Raw genomic sequence first — 22,301 nt, forward strand, 5'->3', positions numbered from 1 at the left:
GCTCCAAATTTCCTCAACACTGCGGGTTAAGCACAGGTAAACAATGGAGAAATGAAAACATTACTTTGTTCAAATGAACTGCACTTAAGCTATTCTGATAACACACTGTACAAACTTCTCGTTATCTTTCACTTCCAGCTCTTGTCTTCACAAACCTATTATTTTGACTCTACCATTCACTACAGCCAAGACGAGACACCAAAATGGTATCTAATTTTAAACACTTACTAAAGGATGCAGAAAGGAAAATCCATTTCTAATGATTTTATGCCTAATCTGTGATACTTGGTAGATGAAAAATTGGTCTCCTTCTTCAACTGTAACTGTTCTTAGAAGTCACTTAATTTAAAAATATATATTAATCAATATAACATATACACATGGTAACAAAGCAAATAGCACATATGATAAAAAGCAAAAATAGCACCCACATCTTTCTCTTCTTACCCCCAATACCACATCCTAGAAGCAAACTCTTCCAATTGTTTCTGCTTGTAGTTTTAGTGGTTACCTCCCTAATTCCAGATACTATGATTTTATCTCTGTTTTGATTTATCCACTTTAGATAGTATCTAATTAATCCCATACATGAGAGCTTGAAATTCAGGTCACTTACTCATCTCTATTCTTTTCAATATATATTATTAGTATTAATAATTCTATCAGTTATCTTTATATCTTTAAATAATATATTTAAACCTCTATTTCTTATCCCATCAGCTCTTGCAGTATCTCTTGCAACTCACTTATTAAAGGCATAATTTAATGTAAGCTTCAAAAGGGTAAGAAGTTTTGTCTGTCTTTTCCCCCTTTCTCTGTATCTCAAGTACCTAAAACAACATCTGCACCCAGTAGATTCTCAGCAAATATTTGTCAAGTGAATGAATGAATGACTGCATTAATGGTATCAGTGTATTGGCATCCTTACCCTTCCTTCTACATGTTCTATTTTTCCTCCTATCCATTATACCTTTGGGGTTTTTTTTACCATGTAAATTTATTAAAATTTGCATTCAGTCCTGCAAGCACAGAAAAGCCTTCTATGCTTTATCCATAGGTGACTAGGACTAGAAGTCTTTGCTTTTCCCAAATATTGTTCAGTTTTAGAGAAGAGCCACCTGATGTTTTGCCTGCATGTTGGTTTGGGGAAGAAGGACTGAGGTACCTACTGGTTGCAGCAGCTTCATTACAGACTTCAAACAAATCCCCTGATTTCAACTTCAGTTCTTATTCCCTTGCTATGGACTCAGGCCAGAGACTTTCTGGGATTTTGCAGAAGAGATTGACTTATATCTCCTTGTAGCTTATCATCTATAAAACGATGAATTTCTCAGCCTATTTCATTCACCAAAATATTCCCATTCATTTTCAATCTCCCAAACTTTATTAAAATAATTTGTCTGTTGGTTTATCCACAATTTCATTGTCTACAATGTAATTAGTTTACTTCTCTTTGTGCATCTCTACTTTTTTCTTAGTAGATGTTAAAATGAAGACTTGTACCTTGTCTGACATCTTAAACTAGAAGCATTAGAAGTAATTTTTAAAGTGTTCTATTTAATTTGTGTGTATGTGAAAGAATTATGGGATACAGATGATTTGTTACAGACAACTTCTTGCCTTTCTTGCTCTGACCCTGACTTCTCACATGAACTATAATATACAGTTGATCTTTGAACAACAAAGCTTTGAACTGTGTAGGTCCACTTACACATGGATTTTTTCAGTAAAAGTTACACCAAGTATGCCTTACTCTCTTGCTTCCCCTTCCACCTCTTCTCCTCTTCTGCCTCTGCCACCCTAAGACAGCAAGATCGACCTCTTCTATTCCTCCTTCTCCTCAGCCTAGTCAATGTGAAAATGACAAGGATGAAAACCTTTATAATGATCCACTTAATAAATGGTAAATACATTTTTCTTCCTTATAATTTTCTTAATAGCAGTTTCTTTTCTCTGGCTTACTATATTGTAAGAATACTGTATATAATACATGTACAAAATATGTGTTAATCGACTATTTGTTATCAATAAAGCTTTGAGTCAACAGTAGGCAATTAGTAGTTAAGTTTTGGGGGCGTCAAAAGTTATATGCAGATTTTTGACTGCATGGGGGTCTTGGTGCCCCTAATCCCCATGTTGTTCAAGGGTCAACTGTATTTAATACGTTAGTGTTGATTCTCTTAATGTTCCTTTTTTATTTTTAATTTATTTCAGAGATTTATGTTAATTACGTGATCCATCTTTTAAGACACTTTTTAAATTTGACAAAAATCTAGTTAATAAGAAAATGAATTTAAAAAATAAAACCTCCCTCCTCTCTATATACATACTGCAGATAAGCTCAAATCCTCCCTCATAGAGAATCAAGAAGAGGGAGGAGTGAGGAGGGGTGAACAGGCAATTGTGACCTGGCTTCTTCCTTATATGGCCACAGACCCAATGTATGGGCACAACCAATGTTTCCAAGGTGATGAGTCTAGAGAATTCTAGAAAAAATGTCCAACGACCGCCTACACTTATCATACTTCTACATGAACAGAAGCAATTCTCTTACCAATATTCCTTGATTTATCCAACAAACATTATTTTGGAAGGAAGGAGTGTCATATTTATTGATTATACTATGTTCTAACTCTTCTACCTATGTTACATTTTCTGATTGTTACAACAAAATTAAGAAGTAGGTATTATAGTAGACTTGTCATTTGAAGACTTAACCTTGGGGATTTTAGCTATTTTTCAGTAACCCCAAAAGTGTATAACGTGTAATTTTTCAAAAGCATTCATTTGGCCAGGAGTGGTGGCTCACGCCTGTAATCTCAGCACTTTGGGAGGCCAAGGCGGGCAGATCACGAGGTCAGGAGATCAAGACCATCCTGACTAACATGGTGAAACCCTGTCTCTACTAAAAGTACAAAAAATTAGCCGGGCGTGGTGGTGGGCCCCTGTAGTTCAAGCTACTTGGGAGGCTGAGGCAGGAGAATGGTGTGAACCCGGGAGGCAGAGCTTGCAGTGAGCCAAGATCGTGCCACTGCACTCCAGTCTGGACAACAGTGCAAAACTCCGTCTCAAAAAAAAAAAAAAAAGCATTCATTTGATGCTTGCTGATGCCAAGTTGAAAGCTGAAGTAGTTGAGCAAGTCATTAATCAGGGAGTAAGATGGAATTATTCTGAGCACCCCTATTTCAGCTTGAGTTTGTATTCTCACCTCTCTATTGTAGCTCTCCAGAAATATTCGGGTAGTATTCTTGCATTTGAGTATTCCCATGCCTCAAGATTGTTCCTTAAATATTTCAAGGGTCTATTATAATCCATACGTAAAATAATGTGACAATGTTCACTCAAGAAAAATGTCAAACTAGTATTTAAGATCATTTTTTTCTGGCCTCCAAAATTCACGTTCTTCCTTTGCTAACCACTAAGCTTCCCTTAATGCTGGGGATAAAACTGCAGCAATAATCACTGTTTCCCATAAATCTACAGTCCCATAAGGAAGGGGGTACCTCTCACAGCAGCACACTGTGCTTCAGGCAGGCCGAAGATAACTCCAGAGTCAACCAGGCAACAATGAAGCTTTGTTACAAAATTAACTCCCTCCTAACGACCAAAAGGATAAGAAGAGCAAATGCAAATCACTCAATTAAATCAGTCAAACAACCAGTTTAATAACAGGTAGAGATTTGTGGCCTGAGGAGAACATGAATTAATTATGAAAAATTGACAAAGAAACCAAAATTAAGAAGCAATGGCCTAAGTTCTGCCAAACTCAGAGATAGTCTATGACTCAGACAGACTGGTTCACCAGCTTCTTGGTAAGTTGGAGGAGTTTCATAAAACTTCATTGTTCTAGTTCATAATAAGGTGGAGCGTGAAGTGTTCCAGTTGTTTTCAGCAACAAGTAAATCAGTGCCTTTGGGCATGGGTGATACTTGGTCAATGACTGAATCTGTTCCTGCCTCCAAAATATCTCAGCTTGGTTTCTTCAAACCAATTAACTCTGTTTTAGTAAGAGGAGGTTTGCTCATACCTTCTTTAATGAGATTAATAATATCAGTCCTTCCATAAAATCACTAATGTATAAAACAACCCCAAATCTCCATCCTCGATTGACTCCAGCAGATATTTATGAGTTTTTCCTGCTGGGTGTCACATATGCTGTTTGATATGGATGTGGACTTCAGTTCTGTTCTTTTTTCCAAGAAAAAATTTCAAAACAACTTTTAAAAAAAATGACGTGGGCCCTGTGCTGCTTAGTTAGCTGAGATGCCCTTAGATAAGAATTGTAACCATTTAGAAGGCACGTAGGCTAGTTAATCAATGAAATTATCAGTGTCTTCTCTTAAAGAAAATAGTACACAGAAAAGGTAAAATCTAACTCAAATTGCATATAATAATTGCTGAAGACATTTATATGACACTTCAGAGCTACAGAATACCTTCACATCCACGATTTCCCTGAATCCTTAGAAGATTGTTGGGAGATAGATGTTATTTTCTTTTTAACAGGTTGAGTATCTTGCCTGAGGTGACACAGGTGCTGCATGACCGCAGCCAACTCCACTTATATGTAATTTCTTTACTGAGAGCAAACCTGACCTCTGCTAAGTGAGGTGCTGGGGTTACAACCATGAATAAGACAATGTCTTTCTTCACATTGTGTTTGCAGTGTGCATACACGCATTGTCAGTAAAATGTCTAATACTTGTTGGAATCAGATAGAAAGCAGTGTTTTTTTGCCAACAGACAAGAAAACTCCAGTCAGACATGATTCTGGTTCAGCTTGACCTGACCCGCTTCAGCTTTGTCCTGGGAAGATCATAAATCATGATGAAAACATTGCCCAGTCCTTGTTCCCATTACCTCTTTGCCAGATCCACACAAGTTGCCAAGGGACTGATTTATCAGATTGTTGTTATGAGGACGGCTAATGCCACATTCATCGTGCCAGGTAGTATCTGTACCCAAGATCCTCCCTAGGAAAAAGCAGCAAGAGTTGAAGTTCCGAGAACTAAGAGGAAACTATGACCTAAAAGAGGTCACCTATGACCACGGGTCAGCTAGGTGTGAATGAAAAATTATTCTGCTGATTTATGAAGTGGAAAATATGACAGGAACTAGTGTTTATTCTAGTAAATTCCATGAATTTTACTGAAATCTTGTCAAAAACCAATATGTGAATCTTTCAAACTGTTAGCCAAAAGCAAATGTTAGTGGTCTGATTAGTGGAGTTATCCCAGCAAGCATGTAAAATGTCACAAATGACTTTAACCTGGGTTAGCCTTGTCCTTCCACCTGCCTCTCTCTGCACTGAGACACCTCCCTCTTGTATATTGAGGAATGAGCTTTGTCCCTCATATCTTTCCTGAACCCAGGGAGTTACTCTGGCATCGTCATGACTCACTCTGCAGCCGGGAACCATCTAGAACGTGCAAACATTGTCTTCATTGATGGAGGCCGCCTTTCCTTCACATGGGGCCAGCAACAGGAAAGGCTGGTTTTTTTTTTTTTCTTTTTTCTGCCCAACCTATTTGTTTCCCACATTGTCATCCTACAAAGCAGTACAGGTATATCAGTTGTTACTGATTGGCAAGATAACCAAAGGAACTGGGCAGAAAAAGCAGTAGTTTAGTCTAAGAGAGATAGTCTAGGGGCAAAGCACCCAGCAAGTTGAAGGCCTTGCAGTGGTTCCTGCGTGAACTCTCCCCAACTCATAACCTGTTGCCCTGTCTGCACCTTTCTGGTGTAATCTCTGCTCCTTATGTAATCTCTAGATGCAAACCTCCACCTTTGTAAACCCTCACCCCTAACCTCAGTGGTCATCCTTCCCTCATGGGTTAGTAACCCTGAGTCATTCCATCTAGAATAAATTCCAGAGGTGCTCCAGCTGGGCAGTCCAAAGTGGTGCCATCCCAGGTAAACGTCATGTCTGGGTCCTCTCTGAGAATTTCCCATTAATGAAAGCTGTAGACATTCCTCTTTCTTCAGCTATTATCCTGTGAATGACTGTCAGCCAATATACACATATCTCTAAAGGACAGACATTCACTCTTAGGGATGGGATAGCCAGAGTGTAACTAGAAATCACAAAGTGGTAGCCACAAACATGTTTTATTTGGGGCTGCATTTAAAAAGAAGAGAGAAAGAGAGAGAGGGAATCAGTTTCTGAGGCAGACAGAATAATAGTCCCCTCCAGAAGTCCATGTCCTAACCCAGAACCTGGGAATATGCTTATTTCCAAGGCAGAAGGGACTTTGCAGATGAGAATAAGTTAAGGATCTTGAGGTGAGGAGGTTATGCTGGATTAATCAGGTGGGCCCGATGGAATCGCAAGGGTCCATATAAGGGAAAGAAGGATGAAGGAGAATCAGAGTGAGAGAAATAGAGGTGATCAAGGAAGCAGAGGGTCAGAGACAGAGAGATGCGAAGATGCTATGCTGCTGGCTTTGAAGGTAGTGGTGGAGGCCACAAGCCAAGAAATGCAGGTGGCATCTAAAAACCAGAGAAGGCAAGGAAATGGATTCATCTGCAGAGCTTCAGAAGGGAGCATAGCCCACCAACACCCTGATTTCCACCCATGACAAACATCTGACCTCCAGAACTATAAGATGGTAAATTTGTATTGTTTAAGCCACTGTCTGTGGTAACTTGTTACAACATCAATAGGAGGCTGATACAGTTTCCACCATTTAAAAGCAGAAGTTTTGAGGTTAAAAAAAAATCTTTCAGACCTCTCTTAGAAAATAGAAAAAAAAATCTGTCCACAGAAGGTCTACTTTCCAGGACAGAATTGGCATAGTAGCCTCTGCCTCTGTTAGAAGTAGAATGGGGTCTGCAGTTCTGTACCACTCCTACTTTCGCTGTGTTCTCAAATGCTGAGGGTGAAGAGCCAGCTACGGATTACTATGGACTTGGAGCTTGCAATTCATGGCTGCCCTCTTCACTCAGTACCCTTTCATCACAAGCGGTCACACCATTCTTCCTCTGTCCTTTAACTGACTTGAACAACAGCCTAAATGGCCAGTCATTTGAAGTTTAAAAACTTGCCAATGGAAGCCTTCTGCTTTTATCTTTGCCTCTGAAAGACATTAGACAGAAAATTGGAATGAACCAGGGATGAGAGGTAAGTGTGTCCACAGGCAAGCAAGAAGGAGGGACAGAATCACCCAGGTAAGTATCACCAATGTGGCTCCATATGATCCTGGGTTCAGACAGTTTACTTTGACAGTATTATTTCATAGGTCATTTGTAGTTATCACCTACACAAATGAGGATTCTGCAGATTATGATCACTTGAAGTCCTAGCTTTTTATTTTTTTCAATTTGAGGGAAGAGGGAGCCTAAATTAGATTTTAGCAATATCTGGTCAGTGATTAATGTATACTACATTTTATAAAATTATCTTTTAAATCCAGTGAATGTTAGCCAGAATTTGGGTTGTTTTGTCTGAAAAGAAAAGCTTTGGCCACAAAACAATCTTCTAATGGTCTTGAAAATAGAAATGCATAATGCTGAATGTACTTAAAGTGTGCCCAAAGTAAAGTATTTCTGCCATGGAAACCACCCGCTCAGCAACTTGACCACTAAAGAATGTTTCCACTCTATAGAGAGAATCTATGGCCAAGCCAGGAACACCAATGATGAGCTGTAAATGCTTGCAGTTATACAAAAGGCCACTTTATAAAATGGCGTTGGTATTTTTCTTTTCCAGTAACACTGAATATCAAAAGGTAGCACCGACAGTACATTTCCAGAAATCATAATCATTTCCTCAGTAAAAAACACCTATTCAGAGCCTTCACCTGTTAACAGGCAACTTTACCTGGCTTTATTTTTATAACACCTCTGAAGGCTCAGCTCTGCAACTGGCCAATCATTGTGGACAGGCCAGTTCTATTATTAGATTGGTTTTGAAGTGTAAGCAGTCCAGAATAGTGGCAGAGATTTATTCTCCAAAATTGGCTGTTCCCTCTCAGTGTAAACTCTAGTCAAAGAACTATTCTCTCTGGGAAATGGATTTGGAAAATGAGGTAGTTTTAAACTGCTTGTGTGAATACATTTTTTCTTTTCTTTCTTTTTCTTTTTTTGTTGTTTTATTTTTGTTTTAGATGGAGTCTTGCTCTCGTCGCCCAGGTTGGAGAGCAATGGCGCGATTTCGGCTCACTGCAACCTCCGCCTCCTGGGTTCAAGCAATTCTCTTGCCTCAGCCTCCCTAGTAGCTGGGATTACAGGTGCCCACCACCACGCCCAGCTAATTTTTGTATTTTCAGTAGAGATGGGGTTTCACCATGTTGGCCAGGCTGGTCTCGAACTCCTGACCTCAGGTGATCCACCCGCCTCGGCCTCCCAAAGTGCTGGGATTACAGCCGTGAGCTACCGCGACTGGCCATGAATACATTGTTTCAGGAACTAAGTCACTCTTTTCTCTGTGGTACATGTGATGTCAAAGTGCACCACGTGGGGATACACATTGTTAACCTATTTGTTTTGGGACCTGTATTAGTGTGCTAGGGCTGTTTTAACAAAGTCTCACAAACTAGGTGGCTTACAAAATAAATGTACTGTCTCTCAGTTCTGGAGGCTAGAAATCCAAGATCAAGATGTTGGCAGGGTTGGTCCCTTCTGAGGGTTCTGAAAGAGAATCTGTTCCAGATTCTAGTGGTTTACTGGCAACCATGGGAATAATTTGGCTGCATCACCCTGGTCTCTTTCCAGGGTGAGGAGAGTCAACTTTCCTCCATATTATACTCTGATCTTGTCCTCTTTCCCTGCTCTATCCCTTGGGACTGCATTTATTCCTTGGCTCCAAGATCACCTTTAGGCAGCTGATTCTGTATAAGTTGCTATTTCTAGCCTTGACTTCTCTACCTAGCTACAAACTCATGTTTCCAGTTGTTTGTATCTGAACGGCAGTAAAACTAAAACTGAAAACATCATCTCATTCTCCTTGAGCCATCTTCTCCTACTACATTGTTTCTGTTAATTTATTATTCTTGTATTCAGCCGTCTTTTCCTACTACATTGTTTCTGTTAATTTATTACTCTTGCATTCAGCCAGAATGTACCTTGTGGTCATCATACTTTTTTTTTTCTCTTGTTCTCTTATATCCCGTTTTTCTAGAACCGTGTTGTCTCTGTTTCTGATATGTAAATTTTCTGCCTCTGAGTCGTCCTAGTCCAGATCCTCATTACTTTTCACCTGGGTGGCTTAAATTGCTCCCTGTTATCTCAGCCTCTCTTTGCTGCATTCTAAACTATTCCCTGTTCATCCGCTTTAACCTTCCAAAAGTTCAGCTGAAAAACATTTGTTCCCCCATTCTCTATAAATTTCAAACTGAGACATAAATTCTAAACCAGTATTTGTAACTGCTATACTGTGGATATACTCTTCTCGTTTTCCTCATCACCTGCCAGTGCTGCACAGGTACCCACTTTGTATTAGTCCATTCTCACACTGCTAATAAAGACATACTTGAGACTGGGTAATGTATAAAAGAAAGAGGTTTCATTGATTCACACTTCAGCATGGCTGGGGGGGCCTCAGGAAACTTACAATCATGGCAGAAGGAGAAGAAACACATCCTTCTTCACTTGGCGGCAACAAGAGCAGAGCAAAGGAGAGGGAAAGCCCCTTATAAAACATCAGATCTCACTATCATGAGAACAGCATGGAGGTAACGGCCCCCATGATTCAATTACCTCCCACTGGGTCCTACTCATGACATGTGGGGATTATGAGAAATACAATTCACGATGAGATTTGGGTGGGGATACAGCCAAACCACATCACTCTTCTTTGGCCAAACTAGACAACTTTCTTTGTTTCTTTTCTTTTCTTTTCCTTTCTTTTCTTTTTTTTAATTAAAGGATTTGATAGAAATGGATTATTCCCAACTATGCATCCTTTATGGCCAAAGACTTACTTATTCCATATTCTACATAAAGTCGTTTTCTGACAGACTAACAGGATCTGTGATGGCTAGCATTTTATTTGATCCTTTTTTATTCCACTTAACATGAGCCCTAATAAAGAGATGGGCTCATGGCATACACTCAACAAATGTAGTAGCTGACAGCCTTTACCAATAGGCCTTGCTTTAGAGTTATTAGCATGCTTATCTATTCTGTCTGCTAGATTGTAAGCTCCTAGAAAGTGAGGATTCTATTTTATTCATCTCTATAAGCCCTCACAATGGTTTGTTCTGGGCCTCGAATAGACAACCAAGAAAGACTGTTAATTTAAACTAAAAACTGTATTGGAAAATCAACTTAACACACCAAGAAATTGTGTTCCCAGCCAATATATGAGCAGAAGGTTGAAATTATTATTTGATCTTAAATATCTTGTTAAATTTGCATTAACCACTAGATTATGTAACTTTATCTTTGAAACGTCATAACACCTCTCTTACAAATGTTCCATAGGCTGCTAATGGCTGGGGACTTGGAAAAGAGGGGTGGGAAACAGAAGAAGGAAGCTTCATATGCTTATAAACTCTATTGAAAGTGGAAAAAGTAATCTTAAATCTTAGTCTTAAGAACGTCCCCATAGACAAAATTTGCAAACATAGTTATTTCTATTGCTCTTTAGTACAAGATTTCTTGCAAGAGACAAGGCTTAGCTTTGCCTAATTATTTAAATTGAACAGTCAGTAATAAATGTTGGTCTTCTTGGGCTTCCCCACAAGCTGACAATGAATCATCCTGGTCTATATTTCTAATTTATCTTGGAGTCTGAACTCACCTACAGAGGGATGGGAGACTACTTTCTTCAAAAGGACATCTTTGGTTTCCCCTCAGCTGGTGGGATACATATTCAATTACAATGATGCTGGGATTTCTAAAAATGTAGAAGAACTTGATACTGTAACAGTTGTCGAGTACCTTGCTTGAAACAAATGAAATCTAAAAATGTAGGTAAATGAGTATGAAAAATATTCACCATTTGTATCTATGTAGGAGGCATAGGGATCACTTCCCACAGCAAGTTGCTCTAGCCTAGGATACTTTAAAATGTAATTCAAGTTGTAAAATGTGATAGACATTATTATTTCCAGAAAATATCTACCAAATTATAGATTGAAAATCAATTGTATATAAGTCACTGTTTTGTAGATCCTATTTCAAAATCAAGCCACAACTACGTGAAAGAACTTGTCTGGGTCTTCAGAAATGATCCAATATTCAGGATAATTGTTGTTTACTGTGAAGGGCAGTCAAAAACCAAACCAGTTCTGAGTATTCAGATTAGCTCAGTGTTTCAGAGGTTAAGCGCTGGAGGCAGGTGTCTAGGCTTAGATCCCAACTGTATCCCCTAGTAACTACATTAGCTTTGACAAAGGTATCTAACCTCATTACGCATCAAGTTCTCATCTATGAAATAAGGATAAGCGTTGCCTTCCTCAAAAGCTTACTATGAACATTAAAAGAGACTGTACATAAACGGCCTACTCCAAAGCAGCCACTCAAGCTACTTTAGCTATTTTTAATTCATAGCAGTCGGTTACTCTATCAAATTAAGCTGATAACTATGCTTCTTTTCTTTTTTTTTTTTTTTTTTTGGCACTGAGGTATTTGGATTTCTATGGCTTTTTAAAAACAGCTTTATTGAGATATAATTCACATACTATACATTTCACCCATTTAAAGTATACAACTGAAAGGCTTTTAGCATGTTCAGAGTTGAGTAGCCATCATCACATCTAATTTTAGATCATTTAAAAATATTTTTTGCTTAATTAATTAATCTTTTAAAAAAATTTGTCATATTATTCCTGCCTCTTACAATTATTGCTAGGTTCTCTGTAAGTATATGTTGAATGAAAGAAGAAACCACTTTATTACTGGAACTGCCAGTATTTTTGAAGTTGGAGAAATGAATAAAATGTAATTAGCATGAGGACAATTCTGGATGAGTTTTTTCTTCCTGGCTGTGTCACAGGAAGTCTAAGACCAATCCAGCTTGTAGAGCAGAGAAAAAGCCACAAAAGTATTATTTTTCAACAGCTGGCTTGTAGGTTGGATAGTCTGCCCTGAGAATAGAATGAGTCTCCTGATCCAAATATATATAATATTTTTTAAAGGCTTGGGGGAGTAGCAAGGGCAACCCTATACTCCTAGGTGGTGTACAGAGTAGTAATAAAAAGTCACAGGGTGGGAGATCGTGAATGTCTTTAAAATTCTGAGGTCTGAAAAAGAACTCTGGATAAAAAGTACCTTAAGGTACATTACTTCACTTTAAGGACAGGGGAGTCTATTGATGTTTATTTCATCCCTAGCTAAGCAAAGATTGACTAAGATCAGCTATCCATGACTCAGCATTTGAGGGAGAGGGTTCTATTTAGTGTTAGCTTGGACAGGACACAGAAAGTTAGTACCTGGGCAGGAAATTTAAACCCTAGCAGTGGTATTCCAAGGCCGTGGTTCTGAGGTTGAGGTGAGATGGGCTAAAAATGAGATCAAATGGCAAATGAAGGAAAACTGGAACTACTTCACAAACTTGCCTAGGTTGAGTTCTGTTCAAAACACCCACAAACACACATTCACCAACATTCACATTCCTTGGTTCATACACACTGATTGAAAACATATTAGACTTTGGATTTTTCTTAAATAAATCAATAGGTTTTTAGCAAGCTAAACATGTTTATTGTTAACAGTCACCAGAAGTTTCTTTGGACTAGTTCAGGCAACAGCTGCATAAATATTTCTCACACTGGCTGTCTGCCCCACTCGCCTTTTTTGCAGGAAAGACCACATCTTTTTTTTTTTTCCAGTTTAGTTCACTGGTTGTATCTCATGTGGACTGACTAAAGAATGTTATTTCTAAAAGTAGGAGTGTTCCAAGTATAACTATGACTTCTGGCAACTAAAGAGAGGCCACTAAACGATTTTTTCCCTCTATTTTGCTGATTCCAGTTCATCCTTCAAGACTTAGCTCAGAATATTCAGTATTAAGAAATGAAGACCCATATAAATAAAACCATAAAGTAACACAAAGATTTGAATAAATGGAAGACACGCTATTTAATGGAAAGAAAAATTAAAAGGTTTGAAGTCAACTTTTCCAAATAACATTCTCTGTATTGCCAATCAAAATCTCAATGAGCTCGTTAAGAATTGACAAAATGATTCTAATGTTCATATAGAAAAATAAAAATGCTGGCCGGGCGTGGTGGCTCCAGCCTGTAATCCCAGCACTTTAGGAGGCCGAGGCAGGCGGATCACCTGAGGTCAGGAGTTCGAGACCAGACTGGCCAACATGGTGAAACCCCGTCTCTACTAAAAATACAAAAATTAGCCAGGTTTTGTGATGGGTGACTGTAATCCCAGCTACTCGGGAGGCTGAGACAGGAGAATCGCTTGAACCCAGGAGGCAGAGTTTGCGGTGAGCCGAGATTGCACCACTGCCCTCCAGCCTGGGCTACAGAGTGGGACTCCATCTCTAAATAAATAAACAAATAAATATGCTAAAAGAATGAGGAAAATTTTGAAAAAGAATGAGAACTTGTCCATGCATGTTATAAAGGTAGAACTGGTACTGACCCATGAATTTCTAGACTCCAGTGAGTGCAACAATAAGGTCTAGAAATAGTACCACATATACATGTGAATTTGGTATCCCATAACAGCTATTTAGTGGGCTCTTATTATATGTCATATATTATTTCTAAGCCCTTTACATACACTAATGTATGAATCCTGGAAACAACTCCAAGAGATACATAGAATTTTTATTCCTGTTTTATAAATGAGAAAACAGATTCATCCAGTTAGTAAGTAATGGAGCCAGTATTTGATCCAGGCAGCCTAACTCCAGCACCTATTAATTACTATACAGCATTTTATATCAGCAAGGGAAAAGATTATTCGACATAGGTAACTAATATGAACCCCACTTTATTTCTTATATCACAGCTAATTCTAGATGGCTTAATTTTATTTAAATAAAACTGTAAAAGTACCAGGGAAAAATATGAGTTTTTTAAAAAAAAAACTCTATGTGGAAAGACCTTTTTACAGCCCACCCAAAACTCGAAATCAAAATAGAGAAGACTGATAGACCCAATTCATAAATATTTTTAAACCAAAATTAAAGTCAAATAAGCAAAGAGGTGAAATAGCCATAGTGCATACGACAGACTAACATTAACATCCCCAGCATACAAAGATCTTTTACCAATCAGATGATGATAAACATGCCTATGAAAAACATGTATAATTCATAAAAATCAGAAAAATAGGCAAGAAATTGAAAAGTTTAACCTTACTGTTGATTAAAGAAATGCACATTCAAATAAAAATTCTTTATCAGATTGGCAAACATATAATAGATTGACAAAATCTGATGTTGACAAAGGTGTAGGAAAATGGTGATTCGAATTGGCACAACTTTTCTGGAGAGAATTTTGGCATTTATGAATCAAAATTTCAAATGTGTATAACTTATGATCTAGCAAGTTTTCCAGGGACCTGTCTGTGGAAATCATTGCTCAAGTACCCAAAGCTGTAAACACAGTGATGTTAATTATAGCATTATCTAAAACAGCAGAAAAACAGAAAACAACCTAATTGTCCTCTGGCTAAACAAAGGCATAAAGTATGATAAAATACTATATGGCCACGAAAAATTGTAACATGATTTTAAACGTATTGCTCTGCAATGATATCCAGGTTATATTGTTGAATGAAAAATTATCAAGATACTGAATAACATGTGAAGTATGGCAACATTTTTATAAAATTATGGGTATGCAAACACATGTACATGCATGCCTGGAAAGGTTATTCACTAAAATGTCAACGGCAATGATCTTCGTGAAGAGATTTTGGGTGAGTTTTACTCTCTTGTTTATATTTTCATGATTATTTGGAATTCTTGAATGAGCAAAAAAAAAAAAAAAACAAAAAAAACCACTACCCAAACAGAACAGACACAACTGAAGCATGTCTTCTCAGGAAGCCTTCTCTTACTCCAGGTTGGTCTGGACATTGCCCTCTAACCTCCCATAGCAGCCTATACACATCACCACAGCCCTTCCACATCACAATATAAAGATATTTATTTGTATGCTTTGCCTTTCCTTACAAAACATCAGTAAATACATCTGATATCCTATTATTTTGTTTTTCCTGTGCTGAGCTCAGTGACTGACACATAGCAGGCACCAATGACTCAACCTATTTGGGAATTCAAACTAGCCTCCCCTAAAATTATATATTGTAGGAGGGAGTAGGTGTGAGTTTTATGAGATTAAGATGTGTATTTTTCCCCAGTAGTTTTCATAAGCTAGATAAATTGTGGGGAAATACAAAGTAATGACCTATTTATATGGATCTACCTTTAAGCAAGGTTCAAGGTCCCACTAAATTAACATCCTTCAGAATTCTTATTGGAAGTACTGCTGTTTAAGTCTTGCTTGCTACTGACACTAACTTGATACTGGGAATATGTCTACTTTTCTGAAACTCTCACTTCCTGTATCTGCAAATTAGAAATGAGAATAATTCACCCAGCAACAGGAATGACTGGCGATGAGGAATAGCTAAGAGCGTTTGCTCGAGGGCTCTATTTTAAGTATGCCTCAATTCAGCTCCAAATTTTCCAGTGAACTCTATTTTGACATTGAAAAACAATGTTTTGGCACTACGCTATATTCAGAGACTTTCACAATAAGCTCCTCTTATCAGTTCACCATGTGATGTTTTCCTTTAGCCAGATCACTCATTTTATTCTGGGGTTAGCACTTTTGGACCATAGTTACAGATATGAACTGTGGATAGAAACGGTCTCTAACTTGTAACTATTATTATTTAGTAACGTAAAATACAAAATACATGGAAGAGGGGAGTAGGTAACATATTGGGGTACCCAGTATGTTACCTACCCAAAGGGTTAAAAGGAACCCCCTAACTGAAATTATTTAAAAGCTGAAAGACCTAAACTCCCTATCCAAACTGTTAATATATTCATAACCATATTTTAAGGGATGGTGTTGGTTTTGTGGTGTTGATGATTCTATTACTGCTTTTAACAATTCAAAGACATACTGGTATTAAATGAAGTTACAGCTTTACCCATTGTTAGACTAACCAGAGATAAGCACTTGGCATTATTTCCATCCTTAGGTCTTCAAGTAGTTATCTCATCATTAGTTTGTTTCCCTGTGTTTAGAAGGGTGTGATTTTCACACACTCCTCCAGCCAATGAAAACACCAGTTTTTAATAAGCACGTGAAAACTGTGACTCTTATTTTATAAACGTTGACACTGACAGGTTGATTCATGTCTGAGTATTTGTTTGATCTTTGGAAGTTAAACTTGGAATTTCTACAATGTGTTATGTTAAACATGTGTCACCATTTTGAACATAACATATTGCATAAAACTGTTTATAAGACCTGTATGCATTGCTAAGCATTTGTTTGCTTAAAATCAAAGATCTAAGAGTTTTAAGAACTGCAAAACATCTGAGAATATGAATGATATGCTGCCAGGAAAGAGAGAAAAACAAAGGACGATTAGAACTGAGAAGAGTGAAAAAAAAGTATCAGATGCAAATAACCTACAAGCCACAGTCAACACATTTGCACATGAAGAAAACAGTATAACATAATTTATAACACATTTTGACATATATTTATATTATACTTCAATTAACTTAGTTCTAAGATCATACAGTCTTTTCCTTCTTCTTTACACAAATACATATTTCACTTTTAAAAGAGGGCAGTCTTACAGTCAATTTAATGACTATTAACACATCACAATAATAGACTTTTGAAAAAGTCTGCTTATATCTTCCTAAACCTGTGTTTCCAAATGAATGGTATAAGTTGTTCTCCCATTAAGTCAACCACTGGGCTCATTAAGATATGTATTTGAGAAGAATGAGCTTGTTAGTAAACGTATAGATAAAAGATTTAGGTAAGGATTAGGACCTACTAAAGTGACTGCTGTTAAACCAGCTACATCTAATTCTCAATACTACTAATGTAGCTCTAAGCAACCTAAAACAATGACCCACTGTGAAAGATAAGTGATTCATCTCACTTGTTGCTTACTCCCTGACCATTCTCTCAGGTTTTATTGGTTACTGTATAACTTTTTATTAGTTATCTTTCATGATTTCAAATAATAGGCTTAAATTCTCTTTATTTTTTCATTAATTTTAGGAAGTATCTCAATTTCCTCTCCACAAAGTGAGAACGTATGAATGCTCCACTATCCTTCACTTCTTCTCACCTGTAACTCCCAGGTTTTGTTAACTATACCTGACTTTTAAATTACTGGTATTTATAACATTTACAGTATACCCTATCTTTGTTTTATGAAGTCTTGGGTTTTTTTGGTTTTTTAATATAAAATCTTGTGGGTTGTTTGTTCGTTTGTTTTAGAGACAATATCTCCCTCTGTTGCCCAGGATAGGGTGCAAGTGGTGCATCGTAGCTCACTATAGCCTCAAATTCCGGGCTCAAGTGATCTTTCTGAGTAGTTGGGACTACAGGTGCGTATCACCATGCACAGCATATTTTTTTTTTAATTTTTTATTTCTTCAGAGACTGAGTCTCCTATGTTTCCCAGACTGGTCATGAACCCCTGGCCTCAAGCAATCCTCCCACCTCAGCCTTCCATGTAGTTGGGATTACAGTAGGCATAAGCCACCATACCTGGCAAAGTCTTGTTTATATAAAGGCTTTTAAAATAAAGCCTTGTTTTTAAATAAAGTCTTGGTTTTTAAAATAAAGTCTTGTTTTTTTAATAAAGTTTTGTTTTATAAAGTCTTGTCCTTATTTTGTTAAGTCTTCTAAGCTTTGTTTACTGGTTGATTCTAAAAGTTAGAAAGGAATAGCATATAGAACATTATTATTATGTTGATATTATTCACTGCAAAATCAAGTATTATGATTAAACCTCAGGAGAAAGAAATGTAATCCTATGTAAGGAAAACTTTGCCACTCAAAGGAAATGATTTAAGAATCAAAGTATCCAGGCACAGTAGCTCATGCCTGTAATCCCAGCACTTTGGGAGGCTGAGGTGGGTGGATCACTTGAGGCCAGGAGTTCAAGACCAGCCTGGCCTGCATGGTGAAACCCTGTCTCTATTAAAAATACAAAAAAACTAGCCAGACATGGTGGTGCATGCCTGTAATCCCAGCCACTCGGGAGACTGAGGGAGGAGAATCTCTTGAACTGAGAATCTGGAGGCTGCAGTGAGCCGAGATCGTGCCACTGCACTCCAGCCTGAGCCAGAGTGAGACCTTTTCTTAAAAAAAAAAAAAAAAAAAAAAAAAAAATCAAAGTAAACTTAATTTTCTTTTCTTTTACTCCAGTAATTCCTCAGCATCATGCCATATGAAACAGTTTACTTTGTTTCATGTCTGGAACATGACTTTCTTGTACAAGTTTTTGTGTTTTTCCTAAAGTTTCTTGTTGCTTTTTTTCCAGATTACACAAGAAACATATAAACGCTTCATCATTGCATTAAGGTAGTCCAGCTTCTCCTCCTATGCTCCCCACCCCCCGTTCAGCTCCTCTGTTTATCTGCTCTCTCTTACTTGATTTCTCAATAGAAAGGTATTTGACATCCTAGATTAATCTTTATGATCTCTCACTTTTTTTCTCTCATAGTTACTTTGTCTGTTTGCTCTACTTTTAAACCTAGCCTTTTATTGAATGGAGGGAGGGAGGGGCAATCATATTTTTAATTTCCTCTTGTTCTCTTTTTGCATAAAACCGTGTACTTTCTTTATAGATACCATTCTTTCATCAATCTCTGAGGACATTAACTAGAATTTTTTAAAATTTTTCTTCCCTAAATAACCTGTTTTTGTTGGTCTATGACTTTCTTTTTTCATCTTAGCCCTATCTGATGCTGCTGGTTTTCCCCAGATATCTGGCCATCAGTGGTTATCTGCACAAACTCATGAGAGAAAGACTAGATTGATGAATTCAAGTAGCTCGTGTGGATTTCCTCTGTTGTTAAGTGGGGTTTTTCTTAACAGATATCACACCGACTGGAAGGATTTCTGTGCTAGTGGGCAAGTCATGTCATTGGGTAGACTTCTTTAAGATACATGGGCAGAGAGCGCAAAAGTAAATCAGGGTTCCACTCCCAATATCAGAACAGGAGGGTGTGCTCTGGGCAGGGGTTGTGGTGGGGCATACCTTCACCAAGAGTACTACCCCCATCCTAACTGTTAACTTGCTTCAGCCATTCACTTGCAAATGTCACCATGTCAGTTTCACTGCAAATGTATTCTGCATGGGTGACAGGAGCAGCTGTTTTTTATAGATCCTTCTGCCAACTTTCCTCACTGGTTCTCCTTATCTGTCAATCTAAGCTACTCCGGAAAGAATGGCTTGTACCTGTGTTACAGCCTTTTGTACTAGGGCTTATGTATCAGTACTCACTCATCTATTAATACTTTTTTTTTTTTTTTGAGACAGAGTCTCACTCTGTCACCCAGGCTGGAGTGCAGTGGCATGATCTCGGCTCACTGCAACCTCCGACTCCCAGGTTCAAGAGATTCTCCTACCTCAGCCTCCTGAGCAGCTGGGACTACAGGCACATGCCACCACGCCCAGCTAATTTTTGTATTTTTTAGTAGAGACGGGGTTTCACCATATTGACCAGGCTTGTCTCGAACTCCTGACCTCGTGATCCGCCCCCCTCGGCCTCCCAAAGTGCTGGGACTACTGGCGTGAGCCACCGCGGCCCTATTAATACTTTTTTATGCCAGAAATGTGTCTTTGATCTGGTGATGATTCCACCCTAGAAATCCTCATTTGCCATAAACAAATAGGCCCCTTAGGATATTAAGGATTTTCTGGCACTTCTCATTAGACAAAGCTCATGCCAGGGTTATGGGATATGGAGGAGAGAAAGCCTTTGGACACAGACAGAAATCATTTTAGATTCTGTTCTGCTACTTACTAGCTGCACAAGTACATGATATTTATTCTAAAACTGTTTCCACAACTATAAAGCACAGACAATATCTTTTTCACTGAGTTATGGTGAGGACTAAATGAATAAAGTGTTGACAAATAATGGATGTTCAAATGTTAATTCCTTTCCACTGGAGTGTCTTTACTTAAATACCTGGGATTTAATAGGTAAGAAGATATGTATCTATTTAGTTAATACATAGTATTAAATAAAATATTAAATCTATCATTGGCATTCTTTTAATTATCTTCACATTAAGCTCAAATATTACTTTAGATAGGACTTAATATGTGCCCATGTCCTGCTTGAGATCACTTATTATAAGGTCTTTATAACATAGTTCTTCAAAACATGGATTTCTTTTGAAGTGTTTTAGTTACCATAAAATATATCTATTCTCTTACATCTTCAATCTATTTAATTAGATTAACTTCTGTATTATCATCATTACAATTGTATACATTAGTTTAGGACAACCACCAAGTTGATTTTGAACATATTTACTTCAAAAACTTTGCAGTGCACTTTTCTCCCAGCAAAATGCAATAAGGAAAATGTTCAAATAGAAAAATATATACTAACCTACATAGAGGCCAGGGTAAAGAACATGAAAAAAAAAATAAAGCACTTACTTGTGTTGTACTTTGATCTTCCATTTGTCCATTCTTTAGATAAAATACTTACTCCCTTTTGGACTTGAAAACAAGCCTCCTTATAAGGAAAAAAAGTCATTTAACTTTTAAAGTGTGACTAAGTGTAGCCAGTTCAGACTTGTGCTAATTCTGTATGTGTTGTCACAAGGTTCTTCTAACTTTTCAACTCTATTCTTGAATTGCTGTCCTATAAAAGAAAAATTTCCCGATAGCAAAGATTTTTCTGGAAGGTGGATCAAGAGGAAGACAACATTATAAAAAGAAGGAGCAATACTTAACTGACATCATAGAGTTTGAAGTATCATTTGAGAGAGAAAAGTAAAACTCAGTGATCTTTTGTCTTGGCTGAAAGGAATTGTGGACTAAATTTATTTTTAATCACAATAAATATTAATATTAGACTAGATAAGTTGTGTATCTATTTTCCTCTGTTCTATTAAAGTTTTAAATTTCTATATCAACAGTCTTAATGCAAACGTGACTTTTATTTTAACCTTCCTTAGAATGTGGGGAAAAAATACATAATAATAGTCAGCAGACAGAGATAAGGAAACCGAATGATGATATAAAAAGATTTGTTTTCAAAACTTCAGTAAAAACAAATTATAAGAACAAACCCTAAGCTGTTCACAGTGGGTACTTCTGAGGATTCAGGGAGTGGGATGGGAGAAGTGGACGTTCATTCTTTAAAATTTGGTGCTTTTTTCTTTTTCAAAACAGGAGTGCACCATCTTTATGATTCTGGCAACTTGAAAGCTTTTTAATTTTTTTTAAACGTCATTATCCTATAGCCCAATAGTGCAAACACATGGACTAAAGGAACTATGTGGTAGAATTCGTACTTACATCAGTATGGCAAGTAATAAATACATAGATCATTTGACCTAAAGGAACCTCCAATAAAGGATGCCTAATAGCTTAATACTCTTTACCACAAATGTCTGCCCAGTTCTTTCTTGTTCTCCTTACTTTGCAGTTCTTGTCCATTCATTCTGCTCTCTTCCTACACTTAGTAGCTTTAATTAAATTCTATCTCCTTGCTCACAAACAATCCCCTGAGAGAAAAGCTTTTAAAATGGCATGTATTTTGTTTGGCTAGCAAAGTATTTTTAGCACTTTCAAATAAGTTGTCAATATTTAAGAATTTGGAGATCCCAGGCCAGAGGCAGTGGCTCACGCTAGTAATCCAGCACTTTGGGAGGCCAAGGCAGTCAGATCAACTGACGTCAGGAGTTCGAGACAAGCCAGGCCAACATGGTGAAACCCCTTCTCTACTAAAAATACAAAAATTAGCTGGGTGTGGTGGTGGGGGCCTATAGCCCCAGCTACTCGGGAGGCTGAGGCACAAGAATTGCTTGAACCCAGGAGGCGGAGGTTGCAGTGAGCCCAGATCATGCCACTGCACTCCACCCTGGGTGACAGAGTGAGACTCTGTCTCAAAAACAACAAACAAACAAACAAACAAACAAAAAAGAATCTGGAGATTCCAGAATCCCCAGCTCCTCTTTGAAGATCAAAAGATCTGACAACACAGGACCCACATTCCAGCATGGCAATGGGGAGTGCTTACAGCTGACCCGTTAACCTGGGTGTACCCTATTACCACTCCAGTAGGACTGCCAAGGCCATGTGTCATTTAGCATGCCTCTTGTACTGTCTTTTGTCTTATGGGAAACAGTAAAGTAATTTCTTATTTACAC

Source organism: Homo sapiens, chromosome 2 (assembly GCF_000001405.40).
Source record: "Homo sapiens chromosome 2, GRCh38.p14 Primary Assembly".
Lineage (NCBI taxonomy): Eukaryota > Metazoa > Chordata > Mammalia > Primates > Hominidae > Homo > Homo sapiens.